This window comes from Homo sapiens, chromosome 13 (genome assembly GCF_000001405.40).
Source record: "Homo sapiens chromosome 13, GRCh38.p14 Primary Assembly".
NCBI lineage: Eukaryota > Metazoa > Chordata > Mammalia > Primates > Hominidae > Homo > Homo sapiens.
The window spans coordinates 87,426,804-87,451,303 of NC_000013.11; the positions used below are offsets into that span (position 1 = coordinate 87,426,804).

At 32.8% G+C, this 24,500-nt stretch overlaps 2 long non-coding RNA genes across 2 annotated transcripts in view; one reads left to right on the top strand and one right to left on the bottom strand.

Moving 5' to 3' along the window:
* The window catches only part of LOC105370302 (uncharacterized), a 112,367-nt gene extending 92,787 nt beyond the window's left edge, over positions 1 to 19,580 (top strand). The window contains exon 6 of the long non-coding RNA XR_931625.3: positions 18,151 to 19,580. This is a non-coding gene — a long non-coding RNA (uncharacterized LOC105370302). The remainder of the gene's footprint in view (positions 1 to 18,150) is intronic.
* The window catches only part of MIR4500HG (MIR4500 host gene), a 226,977-nt gene continuing 219,660 nt past the window's right edge, over positions 17,184 to 24,500 (bottom strand). Inside the window, exons 5-6 of the long non-coding RNA NR_033829.1 lie at positions 20,293 to 20,430; positions 17,184 to 18,327 (exon numbers count right to left, since the gene is read on the bottom strand). This is a non-coding gene — a long non-coding RNA (MIR4500 host gene). The remainder of the gene's footprint in view (positions 18,328 to 20,292; positions 20,431 to 24,500) is intronic.

The following is a 24,500-nucleotide window of genomic DNA, read 5'->3' on the forward strand; positions in this document are numbered from 1 at the left end:
CTTCCATTTGGAGGAATCAAAAATTTCAATGTAAGTGTTTTCTGTATTTTACACCTGAATTGATAGTGACTTAAGGAAACTGAGATGAGACTATGGGGCCATACTTCCTTTGCTCATTATGTAAAGCTAAGGAAGTATTCATTGGTGTTTAGTCATTGCTAAAGCATCCTATTGTTCTGCACAGGTTGATTGTAATCAAAATAGCTTATAATAGGAAAGCACTGACTTAGCAGATAGTTGAACTGCTTTGATTATAGGAAACAATGTCCCTCAGAAAGAAGTTAAAATACATCTGAACTTATATGAAGGAGTGTGATAGAATATTAAAATGGAAGATTGAGCTGAAACAAAAAATGTATTTTGAAATGAATAGATATTATAAAAATATTTCAATACATTTTATTTTCTTTATTAAAACTTCTGAAGCTAGGCTAGGCTGAGTTACAGAATATGGTAACCACTATTTCAGTTTCCCTTGGTTTTGGGCATAGCCAGATGAACAGGTTCTAGTAAATGGGATGAATCAATAACTGGAATTGTGTAGCTTCTGGAAAGTGTTCTTAATGGGAGATAACTTTTTTCTCCTCATTGCTGGATTTTCAGATTCTCACCCTGTAGACTTTTCATATGGTCTGAAGGCCGTTGTGCATTTTGTAGGTGTTATACTAGTGGCCAGTTCCAGATGCAGATACCATTATGATTCCAGCCAATGAGGGTTATACTAGCGGAAGATGGAGTAGAGAGCTGGAAGAAACACAGATCTTTGATAAACCATTGATGTAGACTAGGTACCTTGTGACAAGACATATATCACATATTATGCCCCTACTTCATGTTTCTGGGAGATTGTGGCAGTTTCCTTCCAGCTGGGCTGCCTTTGGAAACCCTATCAGTTTCTCTCTGTCACTGTCTGCCTCTGTTTTTCTCTTACTCTTTTCCTTTCAGAACTCTTCAGTCCTAATACATACTTAGGGTTTTCTTTATTCCTTCTACATTTTCTGAACTCCCCCTTCCCAGATTCTGTGGTTGAGTAAATAATCTGGAATGTTTTGAAACACTTCTCAACAATTATTGCTGCCATTTTATATCCCCCAGAAGGGTTGATTTATTCATTGGAAACTTATTTAATAAGCTAATTTTAGTGAATTTATTATCAGCTGTTATTGGACAACTATACATTAGTTTCTAGATAACATTATAATGCTTAGTCTTTATGTTCATTAAAAATAAAGGTCAGATTATATAGTGTGAACATTTTAGGCCATGGGGCTTATCAGCAGAGACAGTTAAATACCTCTCAAATTTTCACACAAGGCGGCTACATCTTCTGCCCATGTGTATGTCCAGAACGGCTATAAAATAGGTGCAAATTAATTAATAAATTTACAACATAAACTATCTTGCAAACAAACACACACATTGACCTTCACCTCAGGACAGTTATAACTCTATAAGTATTGAATTCTCATACTTCATGTATATACTGTTTACTGTTATTGAGGAAAAAGTCAAAGAGAACTAGTCCTTGTTTTGCAAACTAGATGACAGGAGGAATACTCAGTTTACTGTGACAAAGTAGGCAATTCTAAGATAAATAGCTCCTAGCAATGCTTTGGAAGGGAAATTTTCCTTAGATGGTGGCTCTATAGAAACTCTGTGAACAAACTGTTATATCTTTTACAAATCTGCCAGCTACTTTTTATGAGCTTCAGTTGCTCTTTATGACTATAATAAAAGGAGAGTAGAAGCCATGTGTATATCCAGTGGTCCCCCAAGCAAGCATCCTTATGCAGAAAATATAATGAGATCGTAGGATGTTCTTGCCCTTAAGCTGCTGGATGCTCTCTTAACTCTTGTTTTGACACCATTTTATTGTGCCTATAATAATAAAGTACATGTGAAATACGTTTCACAGATTTCAGTATTGTTAATCTAATAATTGGCAACATAGTATGTCCACTATCAACAAAGAACACACAAATCAATAAGGAAATGAAAATTTTAAATAATTCAAACATTCCATTGATATGCACCTTGTCATTTAGATATGTATTTGTTAACAGTGCAATACAATTATATATTTTAAAATAACTTATACCATTAAGCATACATTTGCTATTATAATTATTAAAGCACAGTTAAAATACCTTGTATATAAAAATATCAACTCATATTTTATAACAGTGATAGATTTGTAAATTTGTACCTTAAATTCTACATCAATGTGTTCTTTCATAATTTTAACCTCTCATAGACTTTTTACTATAGTTTGCCATTAAAAAAGGAGATATAAACAATTTCAAAAAAATATTGTTTCATAGTCACTATATGTCATAACATATTGTTCAAAATGACATGTAAGAACTATGTTGAGTTTTAATTCCAAAAATTGTCATGGTTAGTTTAAAACTTTTATATTTTAGGTACAATGTGTCTTAATTGACTAATATTTGACTAACATTTCTTTGACATCTTGAGAACCCACAGCTACATTGTCTTCTTATGATTTGTTGACCTGTAGAAATTTATGATTTAAATTTTGAACTCTATCAAAATATATTTTAACCTTATTTTTCTTCATTTCAATTTTCTGTTTCTTTATATGTTTCCTTGGTGTTGTTTTTTAAAATCCTAGCAAACATAGTAATATGCATTTTTATGTCACTACAAACTTTTTCTGAATGATGTTCTGGTGTAATGCAAATAAACATGTAAGAATTCAGTGCATCTTAACTCAAAGCTATTTCTTTCTCTTCTGAGGTCAGCACCATGGTGTTTATTTCTCTCTACCTATGTCTTAATTTTTCATAAAATAAAATCTAAGCATAACAATTGATATAAAAGTAACTCTGTAGCATCCTGGTCTCCATTAAACAAATTTTAAATCCACATAGACAGAAAAGTTTTGCCTCCTTGTTCACCTTACCAACATCTATTTACTTCTCCTTTTCTTTCATAGTTTTAAGATTTAATTTTGACATCACTTAACTAAAGTTGTGACCTCATTTTGAGTGCAGTGTCCTGAGAACATTGAGTATTTTCTCTCATTGCTCTTATGTCTACACAATTAGTACTTTCACATTATTGGATACATAAATATTGACTCAACCCATCGATATCACCTTTGCCAAAAATAAACAGCATTTATTTTGCTTTTCTGCCTTTTCACTATCTGTTGATTTTACATAGAAGCCCTCTTCATTCTCTAGTTTTCTTCATCTTACTTGTCATTTGGATCTTATCTCCTCTATCAACGCTTCATCAATGTCCAAGATTTTTCTAACTCTTCATTCTTCTATACTACTACAGTCATTACCGGTTATGCTTTTCATCTGGCAGTTTGAACGTTCTTCATGTTGTTATTAGTGTTGTTAATTGCTTAAAAACGTGTCCTGCATCCTCAACTAGGTTGAATACCCTGAAGAAAGAACTGGCTTTTAACTATGAGTTCACGGTTGATCTGGGAATGTTCTTATGTAGACCTATGAATCTCCTGAAATTATAGATAAGACAATGTATTTATGTACATTTCTATGTATACTTTTTTTTTGCAAAAACACAGTGGCTAGAACTCTATCAATTTAGCAAAGATATTCATGTGTAAAATCCATTGATCTAAAATAATAAAAATCATAGTTTGCACTTTTTTCTTCCATAAGGCATGTAAGTCAAAAGTACTTGAGAAATATTTGTAATTGATTTCACAAACCTTAGGCTCTTAGTTGGAATCCCTGGGGTGATACTCCCTAGAAGTGTACAAAAACCACAGCCAGACAACGACTAACAGACAAATGCAACCAAGCTATAAGTTAGCTCAAATCCATATCGGTCCTCTCTCCTATTGGGTTGTATTACTTATATTATTTTTTAAGAATGATTTTACATATTTTATTTTCTCATGAGATATGTTACACATAGTAATTTTGTAAAATATATATGTATATTATAAGAAATACTTATGAAGAGAATATCCACATAAATACCATGAAGCTCAAGATCTGGATAATTGCCTGCAAAACAGAAGCACCCTGGAAGAACCTCCATATATAAATTTTCTTCTTTACTCCTAGAGATGATATTCTTCCTAAATCTAGATATATTAACATATAAATAAACATTAAGATATGCCATGATTGCCGATGGAAAGATTCCTGTTGGGAAAAATACTATTCATGGGCCGCTCATGTTTCTGCATGTTATTCATTCAGAATCACAAACTCCATTTTTTCCTACTATTTTTTCAAAGTTGTTTGTGATTATATTAATATAATAAACATCCCATGTAAAAAAGATAATATCTCCTTCTCAGGCAAGGGTTAGACAGCCTAATCTTTGCCCAGTATAAAGTATGTGTTCCCCAAGCCAGCATTCTTGAAACTGTGGCAGGCTAACTGGAGAGCTGACACGTAAAATAAAATTTCAGACCCTTCAGAGTTCTTGGCAATTCCACCTTATAAAGATATTAAGTCTCCACAGATTTTTAAGTATATGCAGTATAATTCCAATCATATCATATTTTTGTTGAATGTGACAAATGTATTCATTATATGCATATAAATGTAAAGAGAGTATATTAGGCAGAATATTTCTAAAGAAAAACAAGGTGGAAGGAGATTATCTATAAGCTAGCATAACTTTTTATATAGCTAAAGTGATTAAGAAAATGTGGAATTGGTACAAGCATTTGGAAATCAGATGCTGGAACAGAAAAGAGAGCCACAAAATAGATCTATAGTTATATGGACCCTTGATATATCAGAGATATGTTGTGGTAGATAAATAAGGAAAGAACAGATATTTCAATAAATTGAGATACCACATTGTCATGTCTATATAAAAATAAAATTGAATTCTTATACAATATCATTTCCAAGGATTAATTCCATGCTTCTTTGAGAAAAATATAAAGATTTTAAGCAGTTGATATACCTGAATATTATCATGAACTTCTTTGGATTTGAAAAGAGTTTTTAAACGAGATGAAAAACAAAAATCATAAGGGAAAAGATTTCTAAATATGAATGTGTAATTTTAAACAGGATTCAAGACTGGTATAATTTAAAAAAATGATTATAGCAAGTGTTATTGGTTATACCATGTAGAAATGAAATGTCTTCTACTTTGCTGTAGAGGGTGTACAATGGCACAGTGACTTTGGCAAACAGTTTGGCAACGTTGATGGTCCATGTATGGTATGACCCAGCAATTCCAACTCTAGATAGGTACTCTGAATAATCTTTAGTCTTTGCATATATACATCAAGGTGTCAGAAATGTTTGAGAGATTTGTTTATGAATACTCCAAACTAAAAATGACTCAATGACTATCAGCAGTAGGATGGAAAGTAAACTAGAGTATAGTACGGCAATACTTTTTATAAATGGAACTAAGTGAAATACAGCTACATGCAACATAGATGTATCTCACAACATGTTTAAGAGAAAGAAGCTAGTGCAGGAAAAAGGGGAATGGACAAGTCATCGATATAAACCAAACTTAGTGACAACTAAATGCTATTATATATGTATGAAATATAATTGATCACAGATAAGCTATTAAATTTTTCAGTCAATGGCGAAAGCTTTTAGCTCATGGTCAAATAGAAATGGCATTAGTGTGCATCTTTGTTTCATTCCTGATCTGAGGAAAAATAATATTTCCTGGTGAATATATTTGCTATTGGCTTTTGGAGGTAACTATTTTCAGGTTGTGGAAGTTTCACTCATTTCTGATTTCCTAAGAGCATTTTCCTTATTAATATGTATTGCAGTTAGTCAAAAGCTTTTTCTGCATTTATTGTGACAGACTATTTTTCTTATTCAACATCTCAGATAAATTACGATATTTGATTTTCTAGTGTAAAAATGAATTGAATTTAAACCAAGTAGGCTACAATGTATGTTTTGATCAGTTTGCTAATATCTTGCTTAATATTTCCACTGTGTTCTTGAATTAGTTACCTATAATGACTTTTCCCTGCATTGTCTTCTCAATTATTGGTAAAGAGGTTATGTTATGTTAGCCTCAGAAAATGAATTGTGATATATTTTCTGTTTTGTTTATACTCTGCAACAGTTTATAAGATAGTTCTGTTGCTTTTCCTTTAGCATTATTGAAGTTTGCAGGGGAAATTATATAGGCCTTCAATTTCTTTAGTGGCAAATATTTTTAATATTGCTGTCATTGTATTCATATAATTGTTTTATAGTTAAATCATTATTTGCATCATGAATCATTAAATAGGCAACATTTATATTTTTTATATGGCAAGGGTAAGGAGTTGAATTATTTTATAATTGAATTAATATATAAGAGTTGTAAGGTTTATGTGTTTTCTATTTCATCTATTTGTTATTTAAAGCTAAGTTTTTATTTCATGATAAAAATCATTCATAACATGATAGGTTTTATTTTTGGCAGAATCTGGTGCTAATGGCTGTTTATCATTCTGATTTTGGTTGTATGTCTTCTACCTGATCAGCCTTCCTACACATGTTGTCTTCTACCTGATCAGCCTTCCTACACATGTATCATTTTTGTCACTTGAAACTAACAATATTTTAAAAGACTTGAAACTAACAATATTTTAAAAGATGTGTTTATTTATGCTTAGTTTTAGTTTCATTATATTATGCTCTGCTCTACATTGTAATATTTTTCCTATTTTTAATTTACTTTGAACTCTTTCTGGTATTTTGAGTTGGATTATTTTTAACATATTTATTTTCAGTCTTTCTCTTTTATGATACACACACGAGATGCCACAGGTCTGTTATGTATGGATTTAGTTACATTACAATGTTTAGCTTTCATTTTAAAATATTTTCTATTAATTTCTATCATGATTTCCTCTTTGACCTGTTTTCTATTTAGAAGAATATTGAATATCACAACACATTAAGGCCTTGTCTAGACATCAGCATAATTATTTTTGGTGTCCTACAATTACTGCATACATTTTCAACCCTTGGAAGATTGTTGAAGTTGCATTATGATCCATTAAGTAATCAATATTTGTAAGATTGGTGTATTATAGGTGTAAGATGTAGTGATATTGGTCTTGTGTTTTATTGGATCTGTTAAAAATGTTCCATTATAATTATGAATTTGCATCTTTCTAGTTCTATCATTTTGATGTTTATGTATTGAAGTAATATTAATAGATTATCAATATAAATATTAATCAATACTATAATTTATATTCAAATATTAATATAAATATGAATGCATTAATTATGGTTTATAAATAATATTTAATGTGATTAATAGGATAATTTGGAATTCTGTATTTTGGTACTAAAATATTACCCTCTTTAATTCACATTGTTTAAAGTCTCGCTTGTATATTAATAATATAACTTGTCTGTTGTGATATATCTGGAGACAGAAGGGCTCACATAAGGCATTCATATCTGTTTTTTTTTGTTTTTTTTTTTTTTTTTTAGCTCGAAACACAATCAGCGTAGAAAACGGGTAGGCATTTTTCTTTTTCTTTCTTTTTTTTTTTTTTTTTGAGACAGAGTCTCTCTCTGTCGCCCAGGCTGGAGTGCAGTGGCCGCGATCTAGGCTCACTGCAAGCTCCGCTTCCTGGGTTCGTGCCATTCTCCTGCCTCCCTGCCTCAGCCTCTGGAGTAGGTGGGACTACAGGTGCCCGCCACCACGCCCGGCTAATTTTTTTGTATTTTCAGTAGAGACGGGGTTTCACCGTGTTAGCCAGGATGGTCTCGATCTCCTGACCTCATGATGCACCCGCCTCGGCCTCCCAAAGTGCTGGGATAACAGGCGTGAGCCACCGTGCCCAGCCACGGGTAGACATTTTTCAATAACATTAAAAAGTGATTTAGAAACCCAAAACTTATAGGAGTGAAATATTATGGTTATGACATACAATACATAGTCTAAGGAGTAAGACGAAAAGAGAAGATGTGAAATGAGTTTTTTCAAAAAATTTTGGCTTTGAATGTGCTTTTCTGTACTGGAGAAGCTAGAAAGCAATTTGTATGTCCAGGAGATGACAACTGCCCAAAAGAGACTTAAGTTTTCATCACTGGCTGATCTATAAGCTCAGTGTAAGAAGGAAGTAAAAGCTGAACCTGAGGCAGAATTACAAATGGCCCCCTTAAGTGTTAAAGGAGTGCCCTGGCACTGGGTCAATCCTCAAAGATTAAGCTCCTGACATTCAACAAAATACCTGTCAAAACACTGAATAAACAAAGGTAGCCTTCAACAATCAAGATAATCAAACCTTGAGAAAGAGAGATAATCTGATATATAATGCTATCAAATTGTAATAGTCCAAAGTTCATTAAGAACGACCAGAAAAAAAAAAAAAAACTTAAGCTACAATGCATATAAAAAATAGTGTAGGCAAATAATTTCTGACTAAGCCCTGAAAAACAAAACACAAGCAACAAAACCAAAAATAAACAAATCACAGTAAAACAAATAATCAAGAGTTAACAGACAACCTGCAGATTAAAAAATATTTGCAAACAGTGCAACTGACAGAAGATTGATATTGAAAATTTATAAGGAACTCAAAGAACAACAACAACAAACCAAATAACCCTATCATAAAGTGGGCAAAGAACATGCATAGATATTTTTCAAAGGAAGACATACAAATGGGCAACAAGAATATAAAGAATACTCAACACCACTCATCATCAGAGAAGTGCAAATTAAAGCCACAGTGAGGTACCGGCTCACGCTAGTCAGAATGACTATTACTACAGAATAGAAAAATTATGTTGGCAAGGTACACAGTGAAAAAGAATGCTTATACACCATTGGTGGGATATAAATTAGTGCAAACTCTTTGAAAACCAGTGTGGAGATTTCTCAGAGGAACAAAAATAGAACTACCATTCAGTCCAGCAATCTCACTGTGGGGTATCCCCCACACACACACACAAAAAGTTGTATTAAAAAATCCCTGCACGCATATGTTTATTGCAGTAATATTCACAATAGCAAAGACGCAGAATCAACCTAACTGTCCTTCAATGGATGAATAAAGAAAATATGGTATATATTATATAATTCACAAATACATATACACACATAAAATGGAATACTATTTAGCCGTAAAAAGGAATAAAATGGTGTATTTTTTTTGGAGCAACATGGATGGAACTGAAATATCTTAAGTGAAACAACTTAAAAACTGAAATTCAAATATTGCATGGTCTCATTTATAAGTGGAAGCTAAATAATTTGCACAAATAGGCATAAAGTGTGAAATAATAGACATTGGAGACTTAGGTGACAGGGTGGGAGAATAGTAAGGGATGAGAAAATACTTAATGGTCACAATGTACATTATTTGTGTGACGATTACACTAAAATGCCAGACTTCACCACTGCATCATATAGCCACATAACAAAACTGAAATTGTACCCCTTAAGTATATACAAATAAAAGAAAAAATAGATTGACAAAAACTGTCCACGAGAAATCATAGGCACTTAACTTACTAAACAATAACTTTAAATCAACTATTTTAAATATGTTCAAGAACCTGAAGGACTAAATAACATTTTTAAAAAATGACTTATGAACAAAATGATATTGTCAATGAAGAGATAGAAATGGTAGAAAGGAACCAAACAGACATTCTAGAACTAAAAAGTAAAATAACTACACTTTTTAAAAAATCACTAAATGGATTCAACAGTTTTGAGTAGATAGAAAAAAGAATCAGTGAAGATGAATATTGAACAACTGATAATACAATTTTAGTAGCAAAAATAAAAATGAATTTTTTTAATGTGATTAGAATTTAAGTGACATTTGGGACAAGAGGACCAACCTACACTTTATAGGAGTCTCAGAAGAAGCGGAAGAAAATAGAAAAAATATCTGAAGAAATAGTGGTCAAAACCTTCTCCAATCTGAAAATATGAACTGCATACCTAAGAAGCTAAAGAATCTCCAACTAGGACAATCTCAAAAAAATCAACGGAGAGAAAGATTATAATCAAGTTGCCAAAGGAAAAAGAGAAATAGAGAATCTTCAAAGCAGCGAGAAAGAAGCAAATCCTCACATAGAAGGGATCCCCAGTAAAATTTATAGATGATTTCTCATCAAACATCATGAGGACCAGAAAGCAGTGGGATGACATATTTAAAGTTGTAAAAGAAAAAAAAAGAGAGACAATCAATAATTCTAAAACTTGCACAATTTTCTAATGTAAAACAATAATTTTATATCCATCTTGTTAAAGAATGAAAAAATAAATTAATGCATGCACAGATAAACTAAATATAAGAGGGTTTATTATTGGTAGACCTGCCCTATAAATAACTTAGGCTGAAACAAAAGGACTCTAGACATCAACTTAAATTTGTATAATTTTTTAAAAAATGATAAGGTAATTACATATGTAAATTTAAATGGCAATATTACTAAACTTTGGGGTTGAAACTCCTCTTTATTTTCTATATGAATTTAAAGAAAAAGCACAGTATTCTCTGATGGTAGTTTGTATTTCTGTGGGATTGGTGGTGATATCCCCTTTATCATTTTTTATTGCATCTATTTGATTCTTCTCTCTTTTCTTCTTTATTAGTCTTGCTAGCAGTCTATCAATTTTGTTGATTTTTTCAAAAAAAACAGCTCCTGGATTCATTGATTTTTTTAAAGGGTTTTTTGTGTCTCTATATCCTTCAGTTCTGCTCTGATCTTAGTTATTTCTTGCCTTCTGCTGCTTTTGAATGTGTTTGCTCTTGCTTCTCTAGTTCTTTTAATTGTGATGTTAGGGTGTCAATTTAAGATCTTTCCTGCTGTCTCTTGTGGGCATTTAGTGCTATAAATTTCCCTCTACACACTGCTTTGAATGTGTCCCACAGATTCTGGTATGTTGTGTCTTTGTTCTCATTGGTTTCAAAGAACGTCTTTATTTCTGCCTTCATTTCATTATGTACCCAGTAGTCATTCAGGAGCAGGTTGTTCAGTTTCCATGTAGTTGAGCAGTTTTGAGTGAGTTTCTTAATCCTGAGTTCTAGTTTGATTGCGCTGTGGTCTGAGAGACAGTGTGTTATAATTTCTGTTCTTTTACATTTGCTAAGGAGTGCTTTACTTCCAACTATGTGGTCAATTTTGGAATAGGTGTGGTGTGGTGCTGAAAAGAATGTACATTCTGTTGATATGGGGTGGAGAGTTCTGTAGATGTCTATTAGGTCCGCTTCGTGCAGAGCTGAGTTCAGTTCCTGGATATCTTTGTTAACTTTCTGTGTCGTTGATCTGTCTAATGTTGACAGTGGGGTGTTAAAGTCTCCCATTATCATTGTATGGGAGTCTAAGTCTCTTTGTAGGTCTCTAAGGACTTGCTTTATGAATCTGGGTGCTCCTGTATTGGGTGCATATATACAAACTACCATCAGAGAATACTATAAACACCTCTATGCAAATAAACTAGAAAATCTAGAAGAAATGGATAAATTCCTCGACACATACACCCTCCTGGATGTGCTTCCTGGGTACTAAACCAGGAAGTACCGAATCCAGCAGCACATGAAAAAGCTTATCCACCATGATCAAGTGGGCTTCATCCCTGGGATGCAAGGCTGGTTCAATATACACAAATCAATAAACGTAATCCAGCATATAAACAGAACCAATGATAAAAACCACATGATTATCTCAATAGATGCAGAAAAGGCCTTTGACAAAATTCAACAACTCTTCATGCTAAAAACTCTCAGTAAATTAGATATTGATGGGACGTATCTCAAAATAATAAGAGCTATCTATGACAAACCCACAGCCAATATCATACTGAATGGGCAAAAACTGAAAGCATTCCCTTTGAAAACTGGCACAAGACAGGGATGCCCTCTCTCACCACTCCTATTCAACATAGTGTTGGAAGTTCTGGCCAGGGCAATCAGGCAGGAGAAGGAAATAAAGGATATTTAATTAGGAAAAGAGGAAGTCAAATTGTCACTCTTTGCAGATGACATGATTGTATATCCAGAAAACCCCATTGTCTCAGCCCAAAATCTCCTTAACCTGATAGGCAACTTCAGCAAAGTCTCATGATACAAAATCAATGTGCAAAAATCACAAGGATTCTTATACACCAATAACAGACAAACAGAGCCAAATCATGAGTGAACTCCCATTCACAATTGCTTCAAAGAGAATAAAATACCTAGGAATCCAACTTACAAGGGATGTGAAGGACCTCTTCAAGGAGAACTACAAACCACTGCTTAACGAAATTAAAGAGGACACAAACATATGGAAGAACATTCCATGCTCATGGGTAGGAAGAATCAATATCATGAAAATGGCCATACCGCCCAAGGAAATTTATAGATTCAATGCCATCCCCATCAAGCTACCAATGACTTTCTTCACAGAATTGGAAAAAACTACTTTAAAGTTCATATGGAACCCAAAAACAGCCCGCATTGCCAAGTCAATCCTAAGCCAAAAGAACAAAGCTGGAGGCATCATGCTACCTGACTTCAAACTATACTACAAGGCTACAGTAACCAAAACAGCATGGTACTGGTACCAAAACAGAGATATAGACCAAGGGAACAGAACAGAGCCCTCAGAAATAATGCCGCATATCTGCAACTATCTGATCTTTGACAAACCTGACAAAAACAAGCAATGGGGAAAGGATACCCTATTTAATAAATGGTGGTGGGAAAACTGGCTAGCCATATGTAGAAAGCTAAAACTGGATGCTTTCCTTACATCTTATACAAAAATTAATTCAAGATAAAGACTTAAATGTTAAACCTAAAACCATAAAAACCCTAGAAGAAAACCTAGGCAATACCATTCAGGACATAGGCATGGGCAAGGATTTCATGTCCAAAACACCAAAAGCAATGGCAAAAAAAAGCCAAAATTGACAAATGGGATCTAATTAAAGAGCTTCTGCACAGCAAAAGAAACTACCATCAGAGTGAACAGGCAACCTACAAAATGGGAGAAACATTTTGTAATCTACTTATCTGACAAAGGGCTAATATCCAGAATCTACAAAGAACTCCAACAAATTTACAAGAAAAAAACAAACCCCATCAAAAAGTGGGCGAAGGATATGAACAGACACTTTTCAAAAGTAGACATTTATGCAGCCAACAGACACATGAAAAAATGCTCATCATCACTGGCCATCAGAGAAATGAAAATCAAAGCCACAATGAGATACCATCTCACACCAGTTAGAATGGTGATCATTAAAAAGTCAGGAAACAACAGGTGCTGGAGAGGATGTGGAGAAATAGGAACACTTTTACACTGTTGGTGGGACTGTAAACTAGTTCAACCATTGTGGAAGTCAGTGTGGCGATTCCTCAGGGATCTAGAACTAGAAATACCATTTGACCCAGCCATCCCATTACTGGGTATATACCCAAAGGATTATAAAATATGCTGCTATAAAGACACATGCACACGTATGTTTATTGTGGCACTATTCACAATAGCAAAGACTTGGAACCGACCCAAACGTCCAACAAAGATAGACTGGATTAAGAAAATGTGGCACATATACACCATGGAATACTATGCAGCCATAAAAAGGATGAGTTCATGTCCTTTGTAGGGACGTGGATGAAGCTGGAAACCATCATTCTCAGCAAACTATCACAAGGACAAAAAACCAAACACCGCATGTTCTCACTCATAGGTGGGAATTGAACAATGGGAACACATGGACACATGAAGGGGAACATCACACACCGGGCCCTGTTATGGGGTGGGGGTAGGGGGGAGGGATAGCATTAGGAGATTTACCTAATGTTAAATGACGAGTTAATGGGTGCAGCACACCAACATGGCACATGTATACATATGTAACAAACCTGCATATTGTGCACATGTACCCAAAAACTTAGAGTACAATAAAAAACACAAAACAATAATTATAAACTTCTGTCAATGGGTATGTAATGTATAAAGATGTAGTCAGTGACAACAATATAGAGACGTAGATGAAGATGTGTAGAAGCAGAGTATTTGTATACTGCTGAAATAAAGTTGATGTTATTAAAACTAGGTTGTTATAAATGTAAGATCTTAAGTAAGATCTTAATTGTAATCCCCAAGGTAACCACTACAAAATTAAAATACACATAAGAGAAAGGAGGTAATCAAAGTGGTACACTACAAAAATATCAACTAATTACAAAAATGAAATAATTGAAAAATTGAGAAACAAAAAACATATGCATCAAACATAAAACAAATGGATAAATGTTAAGTAATTGCTTTCTTATAAGTAATAAAATGCATCAAATCTTCAATTAAAAGGCAAAGTTTAGTAGAACAATTTAAAGAAATGATCTATCTGTATGTGCCACCTACAAGAAACTTACTTTAGATCCAAAGACACGAAGAGGCTAAAAGTAAAATAATAAAAATAGATAGCTCATGAAAACAGTCACCAAAAGAGCACTTGGATGTCTCTTAATAATGAGATGAAGAAACAGACAGAAAACCAGTATGAAAATAGTGGACATGAACAATATAATAAACCAATTAAACCTAACAGATATATACACAAACTATTCCGCCCAACACAGAAGACCCATTTTTGTATTCAACATATAACTGGAAGTTCTAGATAGGGCAAGAGTTACATAGAACATTTTCCAGCATATACCATAGCTTACACCAAAACACAAGCCTTAACAAATTTAAGGAGACTTAAATATTACAATGTATTTTCCTTCTGAACACAAAAATTGTAACCAGAAATTAGTAACAGAAACTGGAAAACTCACAAATATATGAAGATTAAACGACAAACTTTTAAACAAATTGATCGAAGAATAAAACACAAGGGAAATTAGAAAATATTAGAAAATGTCTTGAGAGAAATGAAAGAAAAACAACACATATGAAGTCACATGGGTCATAGAAAATGCAGTACTTAGAGATATATTTTAACTATAACCAACAAATTTTAAAAAGCAGAAAAATCTTAAATTTACAACCTAACTTTACATCTTAAAGAAAAAAAGCAAGTCAAACCAAAATCTTCATATGGTTGTGTGTGTGTGTGTATGTATTTATTACAGTGACATATTATTCAGCTATAAAATGAGGGCATTATGCTAAATGAAATGAGCCAAACACAAAAATACAAATACTGTATGATCTCACTTATACATGGAATCTAAAAAAAAATCTAACTCACAACAGCGGAGAGTAGAATGGTGGTTGGTGGTTGCCAAGGGTGGGAAATGGGGGAAATAAAGAGATTTTGGTCAAAGGTACAAAGTTTTACTTATAAGATGTGTAAGTTCTAGAATCTAAATTATAGCATGGTGACTATAATAAAAAATTGTGTAATACTTACTTGACATTTGCTAAGGGAGTAGATCTTAAGTGTCCTCTCCAGTGCACACAAGTGAATAGTAAATAAATTCAGTGGATTGATATTTTAATTAATTTTATTGTGGTAATAATTCTGCTATGTATATGCAATCTACATGTGCTCCTTGAATTTTTAATATTTTTATCTCAATAAAGCTAAAAATATAGAAATAAAAATGTATAAGTAAAATTGTACGCAATAGTGAAAGGCTGCTTGTCCCTAAGATTGGGAACACATCCATTATTTAATATTATACGAGAGGCTGGGTGCGGTGGTTCAAGCCTGTAATCCCAGCATTTTTGGGATGCTGAGGTGGGTGGTTCACTTGAGGTCAGGAGTTCGAGACCAGCCTGGCCAACATGGTAAAACCCTGTCTCTACTAAAAATACACAAATTAGCTGGGTGTGCTGGCAGGTGCCTGTAATCCCAGCTACTCAGGAGGCTGAGGCAGGAGAATCGCTTGAACCCAGGAGGCAGAGGTTGCAGTGAGCTGAGATCCTGCCATTGCACTCCAGCCTGAGGTACAAGAACAAAACTCCATCTCAAAAAATAAATAAATAAATAAATAAATTATACTGGAGGTTCTAGTCAGAATATCAAGGCAAGAAAATTAAATACATTCACAAAGATTGGAAAGAAAAAAATGCAGAAGAAAAAAGAATTTGTATGAAGCATGGAAAATGACAATCTGTCAAACAGATAATTGGTGTTCACGAAGTAGGAATGGAACAAATAGGACAAAAATATTCATGCAATTATTTTTAAAAATTAAGTTGTTTAAGTAATAAATAAATTTGTTAATCACAGGGCATATCATATTCACAGTACAAGTTTTAAAAAGTATTAAAACCTTTAGATAATAAAAACATCACTAAGAGAGTGAAATAACTTATTTACAAAATGAGATAATGTACTGTGAAGTATGTATCTTGTAAGAGATTTATATCAAGACATTAAAAAACTACAACTCTACAACAAAAAGACAAAACAACCCAATTAAAAACAGGCAAAGGATTTGAATAGACATTTTGCTAAAGATATGCAAATGGCCAATGAGTACAACATGAAAGTTATTAAAAAACCATTAGTTTTTAGGCCATTGCAAATCAAAATCACAATGACATAATGTTATACCTACTAGTATCACTATAGTTAGAAAATGTAGAACAAGAGTTGACGAGTAACTGGGAAATTTGGAGAATCATACTTTGTTGGTCTGCATTTAAAATGATGCAGCTGCTGTGGAAGACAGTTTGGTGATACCTTAAAATGTTAAACAGAATTACCATATGACCCAGCATTTTAATTTGGTATCCCAATGAATGTAAAACATGAATTCAGATAAATGCACACTAGTGTTTATAGCAGCATTATTCATAACAGCCAAAAGGAGGAAATAACCCACGTGTGTCTATCAACAGATGAATGGATAAACAAAATGGGGTGTGTGTGCATACTGTGGAATATAATTGAGCCATAAAAAAGAAATGAAGTTCTCATACATGTCACTATATGGATGAAGCTTTTAAACATTATGCAAAGTGAAATTAGCCAGACACAAAAGGGTCAATGTTGTATGATTCCTCTTATACAAATATTTAGAACAGGGAGATTCACAGAGACAAGATTTAGAGTTTACTAGGGGATGGATTAGGAATAAAAAATGGGGAGTTGTTACTAATTGCCAGAGTTTCTGTTTGGATTGATGAAAATTTTTGAAAATAGTGGTGATTGTTGCACAAAACTGTAAATACAATTAATGCCACTGAATTGTACACTTAAGAGGTTAAATGGCAAATTTTATACATTTTACAATAAAAAATATTAAAAATGTGAATTATAATTTTCATAACAGTATTTTTATTTGTGAAATTTTTTTACAATTTGCTTTTTTTTTGGTATGTTCTACATTTTTTTCCATGTACTAAGTATCGTGGGAAGTTCCAACCTCATACTTATGCTGCTTTTCTACTTGCTAATATTGGATGCTTCTTGCCAGGCTCCTTAAATTGTGCTGTAACCTGGAAGAAACCTTCCTACTCTCCACAAACCCTGAATAATCCTGAGAGTTTAAACCTCACCTAATTATTCTCTATCATTTAGAAACTAGAGGGGTGGAGGACTGAGAGAGGAACAGTATAAAATTCGAAACCAGTGATGCATTGGCTGAAAAACACTGACATGAATTGTGAGAGCAAAGAAACCACAGCTGGTTTTGCAGGTGCAGTCCAGGTGGGCCTTGGCAGCTGATGTTGAATTGTACGAATTGTAGCTCTTATATTTTCTGGGCTACAGCTGATACTGTAGGTTCAGCTAAAATAGTAAATTACTAGGAGGCATCATTAAGTTCCAATTAAGATTCACTTCAAATCAGGTAGCTCTTCCATCTGAATGTTTTTTCAAATACAGCTCATGTCCACATGCTTTAAGTTGTGCACTAATACATATCAGTAGTACACAATTTGTGGCACCATTAGTAATAAGATTTATAGGAGTGCTATAATTCCAAACTCTGAAAATAAAAGAACTGCAAATAATTTATACAGATACTCTGTCACCATAATTTCCTGCTTTTTAAATGTCTGCTGCACAGAGTGACTTCATTTCAAAGAGCACTTTATGAGAAGGAAAAGCATAAAGGGTAACTTTAAAGTCAAAATCCTGAAAAAGAATATCTTAGCCAGGTGATTAAAATTAACATCAACAGTGATAAGCCCTTTTGATAGTATGTAGCATTGATATGATGTGAAAAGAATGTCACTTCATCTCTGTGGCCTTCCTCCCCAAAATACATATCCCTAGTTTTCTCAGGAGATAAGCATCAAGCAAAGCCCAAGTGAGGGACATACTACAAAATACCTGACCACTACTGTAAACTGTAAGGTGGGCAAAACCAAGGAAAACGTGAGTAAGAGTCGCAGCCAAGAAAAGCCTGTGGAGACATGACTACTCAATGCAACATGATATCCTGATGAGACTCTGGAAGACAAAAAGAATATTAAATACAATATAAGGAAATTTGAATAAGTTGTGAACTTTATTTAATAACATATTGTATGGGTTCAATAATTGTGACAAGTATACTACAGCAACATAAGATACTACATAGGGAAACTGTCAAATATATAGGAACTCTTTGTACTGTCTTCACAATTTTTCTGTAATTAGAAAACTATTGTAAAAGAAAACTGTATTTTAAAAAAGCATTGTTATATTAAAAATGACACAAAACATGTGCAGCAGATGTGGGTTGGAGCCAGAAATTCTGCATTTGTAATAAGCCTACGGTGCTCTTTCTGTTGCTGGTGCTGCTTGCCTGGGTCTCATGGAGTGGCAGGCATAGAGTGGCCTCCAGGTCAGGAGAATGGGCATCATGTGGAACTTGTTAGACATACAAGTCATTTCATGTCAGATCTATCGAATTAGAAAGTCTAGGGTTGGGGCCCAGCAGTATGTTTTATAGCAACCCCTCCAGAGGTGCTGATGCGAATACATAAGGAAAATTGATCTAAAATCCACCACTAGCATGTTATTCTCTCCCCCTTTTTTGTTGGAGTGGGAGTGGAAGATAAGTTGGAGGTAAGGGTGTATATTTGAAAAGTTAATTCACTGAATAAATAGTTATAAAAAATTTACATCTTGAGACTGAATTTCATGCTAAAGAAATGGATTTATGCAATTTGTCCATGAACGTCTAGTCACTGCTTATGCAAGCTTTCCATGGCTGTTCATTGACAGAAGGTTGGCTGATTTATATCACCACATAAAAAGAGCATAAATAATAATTTATCAATCATTTGTATCTCCTGAAAGATCTACAAATTATATTTTACAAATTAAAAATAAATTACTATTGGATTCCCGATCAGCTCAGGAATTGGATTCCTGATTCTAGCTCAGTCATCTAGAGGTTTAAATGTATCTTTTTATTGAATTTTTTGTTTAGTTACTAGATACACATATAAAGGATGTAATTTTTTAAAATATATCATATAATAGCTTTTAATTTCATTTTTGTTTTTCTTGTATAACCTATTCTCTATATACTCACGTATTTTGGCTTAATAGTATGTTTGATAATTTATTCATGTTGATATGTCCACAAATATATTGGAATTTCATAAAAATTTCTTTGGCAAAGAAGGCACAACTTTCCTGTTCTTCAGAGGATTGTTCCTTTCTGATATTTGTAATTACAAACGATGATAAAATAAAAACATTGTACAAATCTACTTTTGCACAAGGATGATGATGTCTATAGAACATATAACCATGAGTAGAAATGCTGGACCCAAAGTTATGACAATATTTTACTTTCCTAGGTATTGCCCCAATTTTCTCTTAGTGCATATTTTAATGGATTTCCCACTTACCAGTTTTTGAGGTATCCTATTGTTCCACATATTCACAACATTTGGTTTCATCGAACTATTTAATTTCCACCAATCACATGGAATTGAGGTCACCACATACATTTCCAAAGCATATTAACTGGATATTATGAGGTTGAGTATATTTTCAAACATTTGCTGACTTTTCAACTTCTGATCTATCAATTATTTCATCATATCTCTTATTTTTTTCTTTTGGCACATACCTTTATATGAACATTTATATTGTAACTGTTAATCTACATGAGTGTGTGCACTGCAAATATATTGTTCAGGCTGCAGCATGTATTTTTAATTTTTGTGTTGTCGTTTGAGAAACAGAAGATTTTAATTTTGTTTAGTTAACTTCATTACTTTAACTTTATAGTTTGTATTTCTTTTTTCCTCTTGTAGTAACCCTTTCCTTACTCCTTTCTGTGTTTAGGTTGGCAATAAGACTTTTCTTATTTTGTTTTCAGTTAGGTTTGTAAGGCAGAAGTTAAGCTGTTAAGCTGTGAGTATTATTGCAAGTAAGCAAACACTTGCACATCTTGTGGTTTATCTGCAGGCTCACCTGACTGGTATGGAGCAAAAGCCAAGGGCTTTGGTTCAGTCCTCCACTGCTCATCAGATCTCCCATTTCAGCTTCCTGGGCCAGGTGCATGTGCAGATAGATCCAGCTCAAGGAGTATGAACTTCTCCTCCTGATCAGCTGTCATGTCAAGGGTAGAGGCAGTGAGAACAAGATTTTAATTTGTCTTTATGATTTCTGAACTTACTCTCTTCACTTTGCATACATCTTTTCTTCTTGACTATCAGCCACCATACAGTGACTCCAAGTCCACTACCAGATATGAAGACAACCACCTTCCATGGACTTCTTCACTAGCACCACGTGTTGTTCTTGGTTAATGGTGTCTCTTATATTCTAATCGATCCTTTTTAGCTCTTTAGCATCTTAGCTTTTCAAAAAACGTGAAAGATCTAATCTTTAAAATAAACTCTTACCCATATCATTCGCATTGATTCTTGTTCCCTAGCCAACTCAAAACACTAAGTTTAACTTTTCAAGTAATGTGGCTTTACACACGTAAATTTTGAATACACAGATTATTAATCAATGTAGAATTTATATTTTTGCATGAGATAAGGCACTTATTTGGTTTTCTTTTAAGTTCTATAGGAAAACAATTGACCCAGCATCACAATTAAATAGGTCATCAAATGATAATATGCATATGTCTTTCTCTATTACTTTTCATTAATTTATATCCCTGGAACTATTCCACACTGTCTTAAACATTTTGTAATTTGTAATGATAATGTATGTTAATATTCAATAGTATATATCATGCCACCTTGCTCTTCTTAAAAGTGTCTTTTTGTTTTACATTTTGTTGCAATACATATATGTATGAAACTTATGATACTAAGTCTTCCTACTACTATATATACATGTGGTATGTAGCTTAGTTCATTTAGATCTTGTGTGTTTGTATGTACATGATTTATTCATTCCTATGTATAAAATACATGTCCTTTTTTATTTTAAATGATATATTTTCATACTTTCTATTCGTTACTCTTTTTTTTTCCTTTACCCTAAGGAAATAATTTAGCAAAGGTTTATCCTCCATTCAAATTCAAATTTTCCTTAAGTTGGTTATTCAATGTCCTATATTGGTGAATTGGTTAGAAAGATAGAAATTCTAATTTAATTCTTACACTAAGTTAAATTTAGTATATAATCATCCCCCATTTATACAGCACATATGCTTGTTATATATCAGTTGACTCTGTTTTCTGGAATCCAAACTGGTACAGAATTCAACCAGGCCAAGTTAATGGTAAATGTTTGCCCCCCTTTAACATCTCAATAATGAAAATGGCATATAGACAACAAGATTTCCCTGTTGAGACATAGGTGGTAACAAGCCAAGTCTCTTCTAACTATAAGAAGGATTTTACTAAGAGCTTCCAACCCCAAATAGTTAATTATATAGTGATAAAGAGGTCAATTCTTTAAGAAGTTATCTAACTGTAAATATATATGTGTATATATATGTATATATATATGTGTATATATATGTGTATATATATATGTGTATATATATGTATATATATATATATGCACCTAACATCAGAACACCTCAAAATATAAACCAAATATTAATAGAAAGGAGAGACAGGGTACAATTCAATAACAGTATGGGACGTCAATACCCAGAGACAGATTTTCAGAGAAAAGATATTGAGGAAATGTCATATTTAAATTACACTTTAGAGCAAATGAACATGATACACAAATATGGAACATTTGACCAAGAGCAGCAGAATACAAATTCTTCTCAAGCACACACAAAATATTTCCAGGAGAGATCACAGGTAAGAAAATAAGTCTTAACAAATTCAAGAAGATTGAAATCATATCAAGTATGTTTTTAAACCACAGTGTTATATAACTAGAAATCAATAACGAGGAATTTTGGCAAATTCATATATTCATAAAAATTAAACAACATGCTCCTGAACAACCAATGTATCAATGAATAAATTAAAAGAGAAATTTAAAATACCTTAAAAGTAATGAAAATGGAAATACAACATACCAAAACTTATGGGATGCAGAAAAAGCAGTTCAAAGAGGGAAGTTTACTGCAATAAACACCTACCTACCTCAACAGAGGTAAAAGATCTTAAATAAACAACTTTTTTAATGAGCTAAAAAAATAAAAACAAAGTGCAAAATTGCCAGAATGAAAAAATAATAAATATCAAAGTAGAAATAATTAAAACAGATACTAGAAAAAACAATGGAAAAGATCAATGAAACTAAGAAATGTTTTTTTTTTAAAGATAATCAACAATACTTTAGCTAAACTAGGAATAAAAGAGAGAAGACTCAAAATCAGGAATGAAAGAGGTGACATTATATTAGATACCATAGCAATACAAAAGATTATGAGACTAATATGAATAACTAAATGCCAACAAATTGGATAATCTGGAGAAAATCAATACATTTCTTCATACATACAATCTACCAGGACTGAATCACAAAGAAATAGAAAATCTGAATAGAAAATATCAAGAAAAGATTTAATCAGTAATAGCCCAGGACCCAATTACATCACTGCTGAATTTTACCAAATGCTAAAGAATAGCTAATACCAATAATTATCAATCTTTTTGAAAAAACTGAAAAGGGAATAATTCCAAACTTTTTTACAAGGCCAGAATTATCCTGATACCAAAGCCAGACACGGACATTACAAGAAATAAAAGTACAGGCCAACATCCCTAATGAAAATAGATGAAAAATTCCTCAACAAAATGCTAGCAAACCAAATTTAACAGCACATTAAAAGGATCATTCCCTTTTAGATAGAAGAAACAAACTTCAACATAACATAAAGGTCATCTTCAAGAAATCCACCGGTAACATGAAACTCCAGTGAAAAGTTGAAAGTTTTTCCTCTAAGACCAGGAACAAGACAAAGATGCCTACTCTGCCACTTTTATTTAAGATAGCAATGGAAGACCTAGTTAAAAAAAAAAAAAATCAGGAAAGAAAAAGAAATAAAAGGCATTTGAATTGGAAAGGAAAAAGCTAAATAGTCCTTGTTTGCAGGTGACATAATTACATATTAAAAACATTAAATATTCCACCAAAAATTATTAGAACTAACACACGAATTCAGTAAAGTTGCAGGATAAAAATTAACATCCCCAAAGCAGTTGTGTTTCTATAAACTAACAATAAACTATCAGCCCCCCCATAAAAATCAAGTGAACAATACCATTTAAAATAGCTATGAAAAAATAACGTACTTAGGAAAAAACAACCAAAAATGTTAAAGAGGTATATACTGAAAACTATAAAACACTGGTGAACAAAATTGAAGAAAACTCAGATAAATGGGAAGTTATCTCACATTCATGGATTCAAAGATTAATATTTTCGAAGTTTCCAAACTGCCCAAAAGGATCTAAAAATTCAATGCAAACCCTATCAATATTCCAATGTCATCTTTCACAGAAATTGAATAAATATCCCCAAATTCATATGGAACCATGAAAGATTCTCAATAGCAATTGTCGGTGAAATAAGCAAAGCAGGAACATCACACTAAGCAGGAACATCACACTACCTGACTTCAAAATATACTACAAAGCTATAGAAACCAAAAGAGCCATGGTAGTGGTATAAAAATAGATGCATAAATCAATGGAACTGAATAGAAACTTCAATTCATAAATTTATAATCAATTGATTTACAATACATTGATGAGAATACACAATGGAGAAATAACAGTATCTTCAATAAATATTGTTTCTACAACTGGATATTCACACGTGAAGAATACAATTAGACATTCTTTTCACATCATATACAAAAATCTACTCAAAATGTCTTAAAGACTTAAACATAAGACCGAAAATTGTAAAACTACTAGAAGAAAACAAAAAGGTAAAACTCCATGCAATTGATCTTAGCAATGATATCTTTGAATAGGAAACCAAAATCACAAACAACAAAAGCAAAGATAGACAAATGATATTACATCAAACTAAAAAGCTTCTGCACAACCAACATTACAGTCAAAAGAGTGAAGAGACAATGCACAGAATGAGAGAAAATATTTGCAAACCATACATTTGATAAGGGGTTAATATTTAAAATATATAAGAAACTCAACTCAATAGTAAGAAAACAAATAACCTGATTTTAAAAATGGGCAAAAGGTGTGACTAGACATTTCTCAAAGAAAGACATATTA